A 17,271-nucleotide genomic window follows, 5' to 3' on the forward strand; every position below is an offset into this window, starting at 1 on the left:
ACCCTTGATAGCAGTGCAGGCCAACAACTGTAGCTGTGCAAGAACTTTATTGGTTCTAAATATAAAAAAACAACACAGGGAGGGCAGATGTACATTAGGTGAGAACCTTAGAGACTGAGAATCCCAGCAGGAGCTCTGCACATGAAACAGCACCTCCCTTTCATCTGTAGGTTCAAGAATGGATTCTTTCACTTTCTAAGTGAGCAGAGAGAAGACTCAAGCACACCACCACCACCACCACCCCCTTCTTCTTCACAAGCACGGGACAGGAACAGGTATTTCCATGCTTGGTGAGGAGTGTCAATAAAAGCACAACCTCAAATCTGGAAAGGTCATTGGAGGGACAGCTCTTTGATGAATCTTGTGTATTAGAGAGTTGAACTTTACAGTCATTATTTGGCATCTTAAGTAGAATGTGAGAAGGTCTCACTATTTTGAAACACCTGCAGAATGTACACAAGGCTAGGACCAACTGAAATGAAGAAACAAGAGCATGATCTAAACAGGAGGTGCCTGGGTATGATTCCAAAGAGATGCAAGATGCTATGGCAAATAGAACATTTCTGAAAGGATACATGAGAAATTGATAATAGTGATTGCCTTTGAGACAGGGAAGTGGGGAACCACAGACACAAGCATTAACTGGAAAATCATTTGGTGGTATGTTATTTTGTACTTAATTAATTGTATCAGGTTTATTAAATTTTCAATAAAAAGAGAGATACTTGAGACAAAAACAACACTTTCACTTTGGCTCTTTCTCCGTTAATTTCTAGCCTTATGACCTGGGGAAAGATATTAAAATCACTCCACGTGTCAGTTTCACATGTATAAAATCTAAGACCTGAAAGTCTAGCAGCCATGCCCAGCCCTGGCAAATGTCACCTAAGGCTGGGGCTTGGAAGTCACCATCAAGAAGGGGAAGGAGCATTCCAGTTGACTCTGTGGTCATGACCACTGCTCTTGCTGTCAGTAACACCTGTAATCACACTACATTTTTGTGAGATTGGCTTCGTTCTTTTCCTTTAATACACTAAATTCTTTCCTTCCTTAAGACTTTCGTATAGGTTAATCCACTAGTTTTTAATGTTTTGTTTCTAATTTTCACATGGCTATATCTTACTCAATTTTCTGATACTGATTATCAGATGTCACTGTTCTGATTCCTTGATGTCACTTCCTCAAAAAGGACTTCCCTGACCCCCCATTTATACTTTCTCAGAAAATTTTGTTCTTTTCTTTCATAATATGTAATGTATGCATGTGTAATTTTTTTTTTTTTTTTTTTTTTGAGACGGAGGCTCACTCTGTTGCCCAGGCTGGAGTGCAGTGGCACAGTCTTGGCTCACTGCTGCCTCCACCTCCCGGATTCAAGCAATTCTCCTGCCTCAGCCTCCCAAGTAGCTGGGACTACAGGTGTGTGCCACCACGCCTGGCTAATTTTCTGTATTTTTAGTAGACACGGGGTTTCACTGTGTTAGCCAGGATGCTCTCGATCTTCTGACCTCGTGATCCGCCCGCCTCGGCCTCCCAAAGTGCTGGGATTACAGGTGTGAGCCACCGTGCCCAGCCTGTAATATTTATTTCTGTAAAATATATGTAACATATGTTATATGTACATATGTCCTTTTCCTTGCTTTTCACATACAAATTTATATGGCAGTTTATTGCATATTAATGTATTCAGAGTTAGACAGTATTCTAATGGATAATCTGTGATTTTTAATCAGTCCCCTATTGATGAAATTAAGATAATTTTCCCATTCTTTTGCTGGTAAAAATTGTGCTACAATAAAAAACAGTAATAGCTTTTTTAAAAGATACTATGACAGAGATAACGTTGCAAGGGTAGACACTGTTGCTGCTGCAGGAAGTAGACAGCAATGATGAGTAGGTCAAAGCTGACTGCTCTCTCAGAATGAAAGCATCTCTTCCTCTCCACCAAAAAAAAAAAAAAAAAAAAATCTTGGCTTGGAAAAACAGAACAAGAACTGTCCAGGACTTATGTTTTTCAAGAATAACTATAAAATGTCATGAAGAATAAAAAAGACTTATATAAAAGTATATTTTTCTGGATTAGAAGGATTTAATAATAAAAAGCAAACCAGTCTTCCCCTTTTGATAAGAGTGTAAAATGCTATATTTTGGGAGAGGAGGCAATTTGGCAGCTTATCATAGCGTTTCTCAACCATTTTTCTTTCCCATTATCATTCCCCTAAAAAGGCTTTTTAGATATTTTTCCTCATGCTCTCACCCATGAAATTTTAATCCTACAGATATGCTGAATATCTACTCATATGCTTTATATATAACTATGCTCTTGACATAGAAACAGCAAAATTTTGTCATCCACCTCCAGACAGGAAGAGAGGGAGGGAGGAAGGGAGGAAGGGAGGGAAAAGGGAAGGGAAGGGAAGGGGAAGAGGAAGGGGAAGGGAGGGAAGGGAAGGGAAGGGAAAAGGAAAGGAAAGGAAGCAGAAAGGCAGAAAGGGGGGAAAGAGGAAGGGAAAAAGGAGGGGAGGGGAAAGGACAGGAGGGGAGGAGAGGGAAAGGGAGGAAGGAAGGGAGGGAAAGGGAGGAAGGGAGGGAAAGGAAGGAAGGGAAGGAAAGGAAGGGAGGAAGGAAGGGAGGGAGGGAGGGACAGATGGACGGAGGGAGGAAGGAAGGAAGGAAAGAAAGAAAGGAAGATATGCTCCTTTGGGTACAGTTTCAACCCAACTGAAAATGCATGCTCACTACTAATTCGAATAGAAGTTGTCTCCATCTGGGTCCAGTAGGAAGCAGAATTCAAATCAAATGGTTCAAAGTGCCACTTACAGAATGTGGGCAACACTGATAGAACTAAAAAAGATATGAGGCACCCAGAGACAAGCCACATGGAGTGGTGCTGTCACTCAAGAAGTTTGCCTTGGAGGGCTGGGGGAGGAAAGTGTTGCCCGCCTGCCTCCTGAGAACTGAAGCTATGGCAAAGGAACTGCCCACCCAGCACAATTAGCAGATGTGTAGGGCACAGGCACTGCCAAAACATGGCACCAGCTTTGGAGTGGAAGTGCCTCCTTCCCGCTCTCCCACCAGCTTTCCGTCTTCTGCGCCTGACTCCCCTTAGTCAAGCTCACCTGGAGGCCACACCTATAAAACTGACAGTAATTCCTGAAATCATCTAATACCCAGTCCATAATCCTATCTCTCCAGTAGTCCCCAAAATGAATCAAGGACCACTCATGCTTCTAGTATTTAGGGTTGTTAGGTCTTTTCTGATCTGGAACTTTCTTCATAAAACCGACTTGATGGAACAGCAGCCAGATGGTGTTCTGTGCAATGTCTCACCTTCTGAATGTGGCCAACTGCTTCCTCATGGTGCCATTTAGCTTGATATTCTATCCTTTGCATTTCCTATAAACTGGAAATGAGGCCTAATGCCTGGACTAATGTTAAGCTTTTCTAACAGGATTACATCACAGGGATGGGTAAGGCTGTGGTCCGCCTATGGCTCACTGCAGTGGCTCATGCCTATAATCCCAGCACTTTGGGGGGCCGAGGCAGGTGGATCACCTGAGGTCAGGAGTTTGAGACCAGCCTGGCCAACATAGTGAAACCCCGTCTCTACTAAAAATATAAAAATTAGCCAGGTGTGGTGGTGGGCGCCTGTAATCCCAGCTACTCAGGAGTTTGAGGCAGGAGAATAGCTTGAACCTGGGCAGCGGAGGTTGCAGCGAGCCAAGATCATGCCACTACACTCCAACCTGGGCAACAAGAGTGAAAACTCTGAAAAAAAAAAAAAAGGCAGGGGGGAAGAGAAAGGAAAAGGGAAAGGAAAGGAGACACAAGGTATCTATCCCACCTGGAGTTATGCAAACATGGACATCTCCTAAGTAGAGGTGATGAAAACCAGACCCTTGCACTGTAAGATACAGCCCCCAACCCAACAGAAAACTGACTTGTGCAGTGTTCAGCTTGCCACCAAAGATGCAGGCTTTCACTAATCTCCAGCCTAATGGTTTTTTAACCAATTGATGAAGCTGTTTTAAATAAATTATTTCCTGATATAAAATAGCAATGTCTAATACTATCATTTCCTTTCTACTTACTAGCTGGTATTCTGTATTATCTGTTCTCAGGCTGCTAATAGAGACATACCTGAGACTGCATAATTTATAAAGGAAAGAGGTTTAACAGACTCACAGTTCCACATGGCTGGGGAGGCCTCACAATCACAGCAGAAGAGCATGGGATGTCTTACATGGTGGCAGGGAAGAGAGAGCTTGTGCAGGGGAACTCCCCTTCATAAAACCATCAGATCTTGTGAAACCTACTCACTATCATGAGAACAGCACAGGAAAGACCTGCCCCCGTGATTCAATTATCTCCCACCAGGTCCCTTCCATGACACATGGGAATTGTGGGGGCTACAATTCAAGATGAGATTTGGGTGTGGACACAGTCAAACCACATCACATTCTTCTGTAAGATGGAACTTTCTCTCAACAACTAGACTATTTGGTTACCCTAAAAAACAGCTCCTCCTGGGGAGGCATGATAACTGCTCAATTTTCCTGCTTCTCAAATTAGAGTACATGGAATTGCTGCCTCAAATAAAGTCAATGAGATTTTTCAGGCTTTTTCTTTTGTGAATATTGTTAAAGACACATGTATTTCCACACATTCAATCTGTAAAAATAACAAAAATAGCTGTCACGCTCAAATTGTTATAAGTTTAGCCAATGGGAGCACTTTCAAGCTTAATCCTATTTTTTTTGTATATTCATCTGAGAAACCTTCCTTGCTTTCTGGCACAACAAGCGATTCCAGACTCATTTTATACCTTTCTTGGCCTGAAATAAGTCACTGCTCCAAGGAGCCATGATTCCTTACAGGGGTAAATGTTATTAAAGGCCAAAATCCAGTGGGTTAGGGTGCCCATTGCTACCAAGCTGATATTGTTTCTAGGCCATTTCAGTGGTCAGAAAAAGAAACGGTAATTTTTATAATTACATTTAACATTTACATTTAATTACATTTAACATTTACATTACATTTAACATTATAAGTCATAGATTTATAAAATATTTTTAATCTATCATTATAATGTCCTTCACTTTATCCTATAAAATACATAAAATAATTTTTGTATAATGATGCTAATATCATTACTAATAAATCCATAATTCACTTGAAGCTTAAAATTTCTATAACTCTTCTTGAGCTGTAACAAATTAAAGGTTTCTATTCAGTTCCATATATTAATGTCACTTAAAATAAATCTTTTCCATGGTATGATATGAATTTGACATACAATTATGTTTCAATTTGCTTTAAATTTTACTAATACCTACATGATCCCAGGGTTAAAACAACGTAAAAAGAAACACACTAAAATGTCTCAACTGGAAACTATTTCATTGGTTTCTTATTTATTCTTGCACTTTTTATTTTTACAAATAGGTACATAAGAAGAAAGAATACTTTTGCAAAAAGTCAGCCCACTGAAATACATTAATTAGTAAATTTTCCACTTAATACAGGTTAGGGCTAACCTATATCGTTTTAAAGGCTGTTCAAGATAACTTTTTTATAACTACACATAAAAAAAGAGGTTTGCTTTTTTCAGTGACCATGTACTACTTCTGACCTTAAAACATATTTTTGAAAAAGGAAAACAAATTTAGGGACACATTTTAGCCCCAGTCTTGTTTGTCCCGTGGGCAGCATTTGGCATTTACTGGTCACCCCTCCTTCTGGAAACCTTGTTTTTTCCATTTCCATGGATCCACACCCCTTGATTTTCCTGCCTTCTACTTACCAAATTCCACTGGCAATGCTGCTCCTTCTCACCAGCTCTTACCACTTGGCATTCTTTAGGGTCTCCAATACTTCTAATACTACACACCCTCCCAGGACAATTTAATCTACCCTTTTAGCTCCAATTTCCACCTCTGATAATGAATTTCAATTCTATAACTTTACCCAGCTCCTGAGCCTCAGAAATCTATATGCAACTGCTGACAGGATGTCTCCCTTTTCCGCTCACAGACACAACATTTTCAACAGGCACCAGCTTGAGTTCATCACCTTGTGCCCCTTCCTCCTTCCTCCTCCAGTCTTCCTGGAGTTAGAAATGGTACCAACCTAGGGGCACAGTCATCAGGCTTCCCTTCACCTGTCACCTCCTTTCTTACCCACCTCCAGGGCAATCCCAATCCTCTCAATTCTACCTGCAACACGACATCGCTGTACATCCATTTGTCCTAGTCCAGTCCATCTCCTGGATTGGGCAAGCATTGTCTCTAGTCTATTCCAACACCTCCTGCTTCCCATTTTCATCCTCTGTGACCCACTTGCCATGTTGTATTCAGAACAATCTTTTAAAACATAAATTGGGCCAGGAACAGTGGCTCATGCTTGAATGTCAGCACTTTTGGAGGCCAAGGCAGGAGGAGTACTTGAGTCCAGGATTTCAAGACCAACCTGGGCAACATAGTGAGATTCCATCCCTATACACACACACCCGGGTGTGGTGGCATGCACACACACACACACACACACACACACAATCACACATATCCAGGTGTTGTGGCATGCACTTGTAGTCCCAGCTACTCAAGAGGCTGAAGTGGGACTATCACTTGAACCTGGAAGGTTGAGGCTACAGTGAGCCATGATCATCCCACTGCATTCCAGCCTGGGTGACAGAGACAGAAGGAGACCTTCTCTCTAAATAAATAAAATACAAATTAAGTATCAGGTAAATACCTTTATCTGATTAAAATCCAGCAATTCCTTATTATCACAATAAAATCCAAGTTTATGTACTTATATTTCAAACAAATTTACCTACTTCTAATCCTTGCATGATGGAGTTTTTCAGCAATACCTTCTACGATATTCCGCTTTGCTAAATGTTCATTTTATTTCTAGAATTCAAAATATTTTCTAGTACCTTCATATTTCTGCAAAGCTGTTTTTCCTCTACCTAGAATATTACTTTTCTCCTCAACTCCTCTTTCAAATGCTTAGCTCATACTCATTCTTTAGGTCTTTTTTATTTTTATTTATTTATTTATTTTTTGAGACAGAGTTTCACTCTTGTCACCTAGGCTGGAGTGCCATGGCACAGTCTCAGCTCACTGCAACCTCTGCCTCCTGGGTTCAAGCAATTCTCCTGCCTCGGCCTCCTGAGTAGCTGAGATTACAGGCATCCACCACCATGTCTGGCTAATTTTTGTATTTTTAGTAGAGACAGGGTTTCACCATGTTGGCCAGGCTGGTCTCGAGCTCCTGACCTCAGGTGATCTGCCCGCCTCAGGCTCCCAAAGTGCTGGGATTACAGACATGAGTCACCACACCCAGCCTAGGTCTCATGTTAATTACTACAACTGAGGCCCAGGAATTACGGCATTTTAAGTATAACATATAATGCTTCCAAAGTACCAAGTATATGGTGTGACATGAGGCAGGCTGTTAATAAATGTTAGCTATTTATATAATTTAGGTTGTTCATGGGTAACAAAGTAATTTCCAGACTGAATTCATCTTTGAAATCAACTGCTTTGCATTTGCATAATTCATATCCCTGTTTTTCTATACTGGAAGCTAAAAACTGTGATTTTCTAATTTGCAATGTCATGTAGAGATAAGTGGGAGATAACTTATTCTGAATGATACAGTTGAATTCCAGACCATTGTAAACAGCTGTCCATTCTTACTTAAATGCTGTAAATTTTGCTTTTTATCATATATTTATATTCTAAAGCTGTTTTACATCAGAGAGATGATATGTCAACCTTGAAACATCACTGTCTAGTAACAACAAAACCCCAAAATAAGACAAAACTTTTTATTTTACTTCAGGTTGGTGGAGAAGAGTTTCATTAGATCTACTGGGTATATGGACTCTGTAGGAACACTGATTGTGAGGCTGAGGATGTAGCCAGTGCTGTGTTATGAATACAGAGGAAATGGGCTCCTGCATAGCATGGATGATAATCAACAATTGATAAAGAACCTCAGCTGTGTTGAGAACTTGAAATAAACTGACTTGTGTTGGAAGGGAAGCCACTGAATGCAAGGCTATCTACTGCTAGGGAGAAAAATTACGGCAAAGTAATCATTGTTTAGCCAGAGGCTAAAATTTCTGCAAAAGCTCTGAGATAAAAATTTTGAATAATAAAGGCATTTAAATTTAAACCTCACTAGCACTTCTTCTTAATCATACACAGACCTAATAATTCTCATAAAAACAGAAAAGTTCAGCTCTTCACCATACCATGGCAGGTGGGAGACACAGAAGGGGGAAAAGAATCATAACACAGGGAAGGGACCAGAGACACCCCACGGTCATTCCTCTAAGAACATCTCAGGATGCTGAGAAATTATCTTATCTTTGTGACCATAGACAAGGGCATCATTTGACCAATGACCAAAATCATATCTGTTTCTAGATCTCCTCTTGACCAAATTAATTGTACTGTGATTACTGAAATTAAAATTCATATAGATCTATTTTTCTGCTTTTGATTGCAGTGAAGAACAATAAGCAGCACTAAATTCTGTCTCCGCTTTCCTGCTGGAAAGGAGGAACCTGGCCTGCTAAACCCCAGCTGAGGGCTTAAGCCATGGGCCCAGGAGTGGCAGGGAACTGTCCCTTCAGCTCCAGAATAATGAGTCATGGTTGATGCAAATAACCCAGAGGAGCATTCCTCCAGAGATCAAGACAGAGAGGTAAAGTTGAAGGGTAAGCTAAAACCACAGGCAGTGTACCCCAAGCGAAAAAAAGCTTCAGAAGAAAAAAAAGAGGCTGAGACACAAAAGGGGGGAATGAATCATGGCACAGCAAAGGGACCAGAGATACTGCCTAGTCATTCCTCTAAGAATACCTCAGGACCCTGAGATTTGATCTTATCTTTGTGACCTTATCTTTGTGACCATTGACCTTGTCACACATGGTCACAAGGATAAGATAAAGCTGCTCCCACAGCAGGTGGGAGGCCACAAGCATTTTTGCATAGACCACCCACAGCTTTGGCCATGAAGGGAAGTAGCTCTTAAGGGTACTAGGCCTGCTCCAAGATTTACTGGATAAAAACAGGAGCAAGAGAACAGATTGGATGGATGGATGGATGGATGGATGGATGGATAGACAGATAGACAGACAGACAGACAGATAACAAAGGGAGAGATGATAGACATAGATAGTTAGATATAGACAGATGACAAAGAAAGATGACAGATATATACAGAAATACAGATAGGTAGGTAGATAGTTGACAGACACAGATGACAGATGATTGACAGATAGGTGGATGATAGGTATATGACAAAGAAAGAGAGATATGATAGACATAGAAAGATAGGTAGACAGATAGATGATAGATGACAGACACAAAAATAGATGACAGACACAGAAAAATAGATGACAGACTATGTAGATGACTGACAATAGAAAGATGGATGACAGAAAAAAGATGATAGACATAAATAGAGAGATGATAGATGGTTGGTAGGTAGGTAGGTAGATAGACACGTGCGCGCGCACACACACACACACACACACACACACACATACAACAGAGACAAAACAGACATACAGGTATAAAGCTTCTGAGTTTCTGCATTGGAAGGGATTTTAAGATGCCTACCTGATACCAAAGTAAGAATCATTTCTCTGCTATCCCCAACCAATAACGTACTAACTCTGAGGTCTTCTTCCTTCTTTCTTTATTCTTCTCCAAGAGAATATTTTCATGGTCACAAAGATCATCCAGTTTGACACTTTTTAAGAGGTGAACATAGATATAGAGAAGACAGCAACTTAATCAAGCTGTGGCATTTTTCCTGAGCCTCTGTTGACTCAGAGGCTTTAGTCTTTCCAGTAAATTCCTATGCATATGAATTTTTAAAAAATCATCTCATGCTTGCATGTTCTTGGAAAAATCTAAGTCCATTGGGTGATTGTTCAACACCATTAAGATGTCAGCAAATCAGTGGGCAAAGTTTATGAAGAGACATTTACAAAAAGAAGAAGGAAATCTCACTAACAAGCATAATATAATTATAACTTCTGGAGAGTATGCTGGTGACAGGGGAAACAGATTGCAGTTGGGACTGTAACTTGGTGGAACTCGTCTCAAGGCAATTTGAGAACGTTATCAACAACAGCAAATACGTTTATTTCCATTGACCCGGGAAGCTCAGCAGTAGTATTATATCATGAGGAAATACTGATAATATAGAGCAAAGTATTATGCACATTTTCCACAGGGCTATGACTAGAAGCAAAAAAAATATATAGTTATATAAACTATGGCATAGTGTCACGAAACAATAAAATTTTATAGCATTTAGAAGTGTTTGTTTTATTCTAAATTTAAAATAACAGAATACAGAAATATATATATGCAATATAATGTAGACATTTTTAACTAGAGAAAACTGCTAAAAGAAAATTCAGTGAAAGATTAAACGTGAGTATGGGGGATGCAATTACGTTTTTGTTTCTCTGTGTGCAAACTTTTGGCAATTTTGTTTTCTTTAACGAGCATGTTTCTGTTTTTTTTTCAAATCGTAACATATTAGTTTTAAAGAAAAACTAGGCTTATTATACTCATTTTTTTAGATTTCTGTTTCATCAAGGGGTTACTGTAATATCAACTCCTTGTCTTTTCTCCTCCAAGGCAAAATAATTCTTGCTTATTAAACCTTTCTTCACAAGTCTTACCTCCCAGCTCCTTAATTATATTTGCGATTTTTATCTGAAAAGGTCGTTAGGTCTTTCTTTAAAAATTTTCCAAACAAAATTCTGACATACTAGAGAGCCCACTGAATCACTTATTTGTTGGGAAATTCTTAGAGATATTTCAGTTTAACTCTGACAATTTCGCAATGGAAAAGAAAAAGGAGGCCGAGAGGAATGACGTGCGCTTCACAGTTTTAGAAAAAGCCAACTAGCACCAGGGCCAGCCTTCTTAGTTTACTCTCTTTCATCTACATAACCTGTTATCAAGTCCAGCTCATCTCCGGCTTAGGTTCTTTGTGTCTTTGATCTGCTGACCATGCTGGGTCTTATAGTTCAGTAACATGTTAAACATAAGGATCAATGAAAATATGCATACATTGACATCTTGGCATTTCACCAGTTTTCAGTGAAACAAACGAGCAACACTTTTCCTTCTTTTGTTCCAGATGTCCGCATGCCCTCCTTATTCACATACAAGTAAGGTGCAGAAATGAGGTTAAGCAGAGTCCAACAAGTCACTCATCAAAACATGCTGGTGATTGTCCTGAAATATGATCTCAGACTCATGGCTGAACATAGGTGTGCATTCATGTTTCAAGGTTTTACTAAAAAGGTGAAACGTAAGGCAAAACTATGAGAAGGGAGAAGGTGGACCTTTCCGCCATCTTCTGCTCCCAGCCAGGGTTCTCCTGTAGCTGGAAAGCAGTGCTTCTCTCAGCCCCTGTCGATAGGAATCCCTGCTTCTCAAGTGTTCCTCTAAGCAGAGGAGAAAATTAACTGTTGGGATTCAAAGGTGTCCCTTCTAGGACACATTGCCTCCATGTAAATCAAAAGCAAAATGAGCCAACTATGTGGCAGCTCATTCCACACAAGTGGGCAAACTTTGGTGTAAGATTAATGAAAAGAAATGAAAAAGACGTAGCAAGCCAAAATACCCATAATACAATTGAAGCACTTTGCAAATATTCCTCTATGTTTTTGTAAACCGAAAGTTGTCTGAGACAGGTCTCAATCAATTTAGGAAGTTTATTTTGCCAAGTTTAAGGATGTACTCGTGACAGTGACACAGCCTCAGGAGGTCCTGATGACATGTGTCTGAGGTGGTCAGGGTACAGCTTGCTTTTATACATTTTAGGGAGACATCAGACATCAATCAATATGTAGAAGATGTACATCGTTTTAATCAGGTAAGGCGGGACGACAAGAGGCAGAGGCTTTCAGGACATAGGTAGATAAGAGACAAAAGATTGCATTCTTCTGAGTCCTCTATCAGCCTTGCACTGAATACACAGTTTAGTCTGGCTCAGTGAATCTGCATTTATCACATAAACAGCAGGGCAGAGAAAGCAGCCAGGTATGCATTTGTCTCAGGCGAGCCTCAGAGAGATGACTTTGAGTTCTGTCTGTCCTTTGTCCGTAAGGAATTTTCTTGTAGGCAAATTGTGAGGAAGGTATGCAGCTTTTTATCTTTGTAGCTATCTTATTTAGGAATACAATCTGAGGCAGGTTTCTGACACAGTTCCCAGCTTGATTTTTTCCCTTGGCTTAGTGATTTTGGGGTCCCAAGATGTATTTTCCTTTCACATTTTATAACTGTAACTTTTCAACGCTGTTGCTAAAAGTATCCTTTATTATGGAATATTTTCTTTGTGAGCTGTGAAAAGACAAAGTTAAGGCAAAATGACAAAGAAGGGTTACAAATGAAAAGATGCCCTGATGCTGATGGATAAATGCAAGCTGGAAGACAGCTGGGTGACAACTTATGTCAGGTAAAAAGGGACACATTGATGGTATCAAAAAACAAAAGAAGATTAAGAACAAATATCCATAAAAGAAGAAAAATACTTGTGTGGTACAAAGGAAAAATCACCCCATCAGATTAGGCAAATCTGATTAAGAGTGAAACATATGAATATAATAAAAATATAAATACAGTTGTATCACATGAAACTGCTGTTTTGGTAGGTCAAGAATAGTTGAATATTGGTAATGGTTTAGCCCAAAGAATTCACTTAGAGGAGGCATAGACTTCCTGTTGCATGTGAGAATTGAGTTCCTGCAAACCAGTCCTTTTATTATTGCTCTAAACTTTCCAACTTTTAAAAAAGACCCTGAGGCATCAGTGTTGGCTTCTCAGAGCCCCAGGTGAGTAAAGCAGAACAGCTGACATTGTAAGCAGGCGATTCCTGTCTGGTAGGGCCACTAGCTGGTGACTCCTTTGTTCAGTACGGAGATGGATTCAGCTCCCCAGCTGCTCCCTTAATCTTCACCACATCCCCCTTCCAGGCCCTACCTGGAAGAGCGTAAGGTCCCTGGCTGTAGGGAAAGGGCAGGAAGCAGAGCAGAACTGTTTCTGCGTCAAGCGCTCAGGAGCTAGGAGCTGGGAGCTGGGCGCACTGACTTGGGATCCCAACTGCCTGGGTCTAAGCCCCAGCTGTGCTTCTCCCCAGAGTTTCCTCAACATCCTGTTTCCTCGTTTAGAAATCTAAGCCACAGAATCCCATCTTAGTGGGTCAAGTGACCCCCAATTGAGTTAGCACATGCAAGGTGCTTAAAATAAACAGTACCTGGCACAAAAAGAAACTCAATAAATGTTCACAATTGTGATTTTAATCTTTTGTGTGGATGAGTGCAGTTGCAGAAAGGAAAAGCTGGGTACACATAAAAACAGTTTTAAAAAATGCCCAGAGTACAGAGTTATTTACGCTAATGTGTTCACACCTATGGAGAAAAGTTTGTAGAATGAAAAAAAAATATTTTAAAGATCAAATAGAGCAAAGCAACCACAGCAAATACTTGTATTTCTCTAGTTTCATCTTCAGACGTTCCCCAGGGACACAGGCAATAGCTCCCTCCCCTGCATTAGAAAGATGACTGTCAAAATTAATCTGCAGTATTAGGGGTAGTGCTGACAGTTTCATCTCTGTAAATGTTATTACTGCATTAAAAAAAAAAAAGAAACCCACAAACCTCTGCCCATCTTTGTAGTCCAGGCACTTGGAGAGTTCTTACGGGGAGAAGCACTTCTCCCCATCGATAGAAATTCAATTTGCTGCACAAGTTAAGATGCAGTAAACTTGTCTCTCCCTTGCTTTACTGCTGCTTTCACAATCATAAAACGAGCCTAATGTTTAAATGTTAGAAAGCATTTAATATTTAATCGTTGGAGATTAAGTCTCTTTCATGACGCCTGAGCTGCCCAGCAACAGGTTAGAAATTGATTGTCTGCCGACCCCTAGGGGCACGGCAGCAGCTCAGCTTTCAACATCTGCCCCCAGCTTTCTAAGGCTCAGAAACGCCAAAGGAAATGAAAAGTTTCCTCTTCCAAAGCAGTTGCCAGTTCCTAGGGGCCAGCACATGGCAGCATCTGGAAAGGCCAAGGGGAGATGGATGTGTGCACATGAAAATGGGTGATGTTCTGGGACCCAAATATCTGGCAACAGGAGAACAGCAGAGCCAGGGCCTCAGAGAAGCTCTCTCCACTGTGGCCAGGGGGAGCCCTTGTGTCCCCACATTCATGTGACGCTACACTAGAAACACCTTTTTTCTGCCCACTGGACATACATTCAGTGTCAGGTGACCTAGACCCATTCACAGATATCTGCTGGCACTTCACACCATCCACATTTTTTTTCTTTTGTGCCTGTCAATAAGAACAGAGAACACAGGCAAAAGAAAGAAAGGAATAATTGCTTGCTGTCACCTATTCAGCCTCTAATAGAGCCAATTCTGAAAGAAAAGAATTCAGTGCTACTTCCCAGCAGGATGCTGACACCATGAATGACATCATACAGCCAGACCTCAGGCAACCAGGGAGCCCGCATGAAAGACGAGTGATGCCAAGGAAGAACACCCATGGTGCCACCTGACAGTCATGTCCTGCAAAGTGGCAGGGGGAGAGGAAGCCTGGGAGGGCCTGGGTTCAAATCCCTGCTGGGCCCCTCTCCCACAGCCTAATGTTGGGCAAGAAGAACCTCTCTCAACTCAGTGTCCTTGTTATAACAACAGGCTTAGGATGCCTTGATCCCAGGGTGGCTGAGTTAAAACTGTAGGAAAAATCATTTAGGAAAAACCCTATAAATGTTTGTTAAAACTGGATCTGAAATGAGTTAATCATCAGACCCCAGATAAAATCAGTTATTTGTGTGTGATATGGTTTGGCTGCGTCCCCACCCAAATCTTATCTTGAATTCCCACCTGTTGTGGGAGGGACCCAGTAGGAGGTAATTGAATCATGGGGGCAGGTCTTTCCCATGCTGTTCTCGTGATAGCAAATAAGTCTCATGAGATCTGTTGCTTTTAAAAAGGGGAGTTTCCCTGAACGAGTTCTCTTCTCTTGTCTGCCACCATGTGAGACGTGCCTTTTACCTTCTGCTTGTGAGGCCTCCCCAGCCATGTGGAACTGTAAGTCCAATAAACCTCTTTCTTTTGTAAATTTCCCAGTCTTGGGTATGTCTTTACCAGCAGCATGAAAATGGACTAATAAAGTGTGTTATTTGGAACTTCAGTGTTAAATAAATTCTGTCATCATCAAATCCCTTCGTGGGCTGAAGTTTCTTGACCTTGGCACTACTGACATTTGGGGCAGGATAATTCTTTGTTGGAGGGCTGTCATGTGCATTGTGGGGTGTTTAGCAGTATCGCTGGCCTCTACTCACAAGATGCCAGCAGCATCCCTCCATACGCCCCAGGTTATGACAACCAAAATTGTACCCACATATTGACAATTTCCTTGGGGCAGGAGGAAAATCGCCCCAGGCAGGAGCCACTGCTATGTATAATGGAATGCTAAGAGGAATAACTACAGGAACTATTCTTTGCTGCCTATCTGCTGCATATTAAACATAGTGAGATAATAGTAGAATTAGAAAGTGTCCTTTTCCTGATGGTTAGTGATAACCGTTCCATAAAGCAAATAGCAAAACCACCCCTTGTTCCCATATCTAAAGTCAGATCTCAGCCTGCTCCAGGGACACAAACACAAAGTGTGACTGGGAGGACAAGGCTTATACTTGAAAATCATTGCAAGATTTTGCTTATTTATATCAGCAAAAAACCAAGAAACATGCATGAGGATCTAATGATGTTCGACTAAGGAGCAGGAAATGTAACACTGAGTTGGTCTTAACATTTTAATCATGGTGCATTGCTGAGAGATTCCAGATTTAATACGTTATTTTATGCAGATGGAAGTGGCTCTAACACGTGACTGGTTGGCTGGCTGGCTGGCTGAAATTGGAACTCAATGGTGACCTGTTTTTAATGAGGCTGAGATGCCAGAACTTCCCTGGAATACTGTAGAAGATGAACCCAAAGGCTTAGGAAAATAGAAATATTGGACTACAACATACATGCACATATGCACACATACACACAAATACACACACATCACTACATTCACAGAGAGCTCCCACAGACTCTTCCCGAGGCATGGAGAAGTGAGGAGACCCCCGCATCCTGAAGAGGTCTGTGCCAGCTGCTCTCTGTAGGCTGGTTATGGTGACGGATGGGGTCCTAGAATAGCAGAGGCCACATGGCAGCCCTTAACTAGAAGAGAGGGTGAGCATATTTACCATGGGGACAGCAAGGTTTCCAGGAATGTTTTAATCCGCAGGAACCTTTGGTGGATGCTAATTGCTCGGAGCATGCCTTGGAAGTAAATAGGCGGGCAGCTTCCTAAATTGTTCCTGGATCTATATATCAAGGATGAATTTGCCTCTGCTGGTCAGAATGGAGCGATGGCCCCTCGCCCTGTTTCCAGGCTCAGGACCTGCACCTTCCTGTGGGCCTGGCTCCTCCCAACCTTCTCACCCCAGACTTCTTGCCTCCTGCTTTGTTCTGCTTTCCTCCATTGCACACACACGTCTCCACTGGAAACACCTTCTTCATTTCTTTAACAAATGCCTTCTACACAGGAACCGTCTTGGCTTTGGGATACAAATGTGAACAAAACAAAAACCCCTGCCTCGTGGAGCGACAGCATGTTTTGCTGATTATTGCAGCATCTGGGATGTCATCTGTCTTGTTTGTTGCTATGGGCCCAGCACTAGAAAAGCACCTGGTATATAGTAGGTTCACATTAGATAGGCACTGAATGGATGCCTGCACTGTCTGCTCGCCATTGAGTAAGACAGTCTGTGTCTCTTTCATGGTCTCTCTTTACTCAAATATCTGTGAGTCCCAGCATTGCTTCCTCAGTTGGATCACATCACAGAGCAAGCTTCAGCTATGGTGAGCATCTCTGTCAAGTCCATGGATGAAATGCAGAGACAACCCCCCCAGGGCAGGAGTCTCCAAACCAGGATGATGATCAGAATCACTTTGGGAAGCTTTGAAAAAGCACAGATCCCTGGGTATAGACCCCAGAATTTCTGACTTTCCAGGTCTGGGATGGGGTCTGAGTATCTGTAAAAGTGCCCAGGAATCTTTTGGTGCTCTGCTGTGGTGCGCCCCGTCTCTGCACCTCTAGTCCATCCTCACCCTTCTCCAGGCATATCTGTGGGCCCCTGGTTTTTTTCCCAGAAGCCGAGTCTGAGAAA

General features: G+C 41.5%; 1 protein-coding gene and 1 long non-coding RNA gene across 2 annotated transcripts in view, besides 3 other annotated features; both read right to left on the reverse strand.

Moving 5' to 3' along the window:
• The window catches only part of TAS2R1 (taste 2 receptor member 1), a 276,530-nt gene that overhangs the window by 193,730 nt on the left and 65,529 nt on the right, over positions 1-17,271 (reverse strand). The gene's annotated exons all lie outside the window — the stretch shown is intronic.
• Positions 1-17,271, reverse strand: part of LINC02112 (long intergenic non-protein coding RNA 2112) — a 262,510-nt gene that overhangs the window by 179,762 nt on the left and 65,477 nt on the right. The gene's annotated exons all lie outside the window — the stretch shown is intronic.
• Positions 10,840-11,340: an enhancer, noted in NCBI's record as "H3K27ac hESC enhancer chr5:9832028-9832528 (GRCh37/hg19 assembly coordinates)". NCBI's record gives its function as "activates a minimal SCP1, AML or CMV promoter by ChIP-STARR-seq in primed H9 embryonic stem cells {active_cell/tissue: H9 hESC(primed)}" and the evidence as "EXISTENCE:reporter gene assay evidence [ECO:0000049][PMID:30033119]".
• Positions 11,341-11,841: an enhancer, noted in NCBI's record as "H3K27ac hESC enhancer chr5:9832529-9833029 (GRCh37/hg19 assembly coordinates)". NCBI's record gives its function as "activates a minimal SCP1, AML or CMV promoter by ChIP-STARR-seq in primed H9 embryonic stem cells {active_cell/tissue: H9 hESC(primed)}" and the evidence as "EXISTENCE:reporter gene assay evidence [ECO:0000049][PMID:30033119]".
• Positions 12,565-13,066: an enhancer, noted in NCBI's record as "H3K27ac hESC enhancer chr5:9833753-9834254 (GRCh37/hg19 assembly coordinates)". NCBI's record gives its function as "activates a minimal SCP1, AML or CMV promoter by ChIP-STARR-seq in naive H9 embryonic stem cells {active_cell/tissue: H9 hESC(naive)}" and the evidence as "EXISTENCE:reporter gene assay evidence [ECO:0000049][PMID:30033119]".

The sequence above is a fragment of the Homo sapiens genome, chromosome 5, assembly GCF_000001405.40.
Source record: "Homo sapiens chromosome 5, GRCh38.p14 Primary Assembly".
Taxonomy (NCBI): Eukaryota; Metazoa; Chordata; class Mammalia; order Primates; family Hominidae; genus Homo; species Homo sapiens.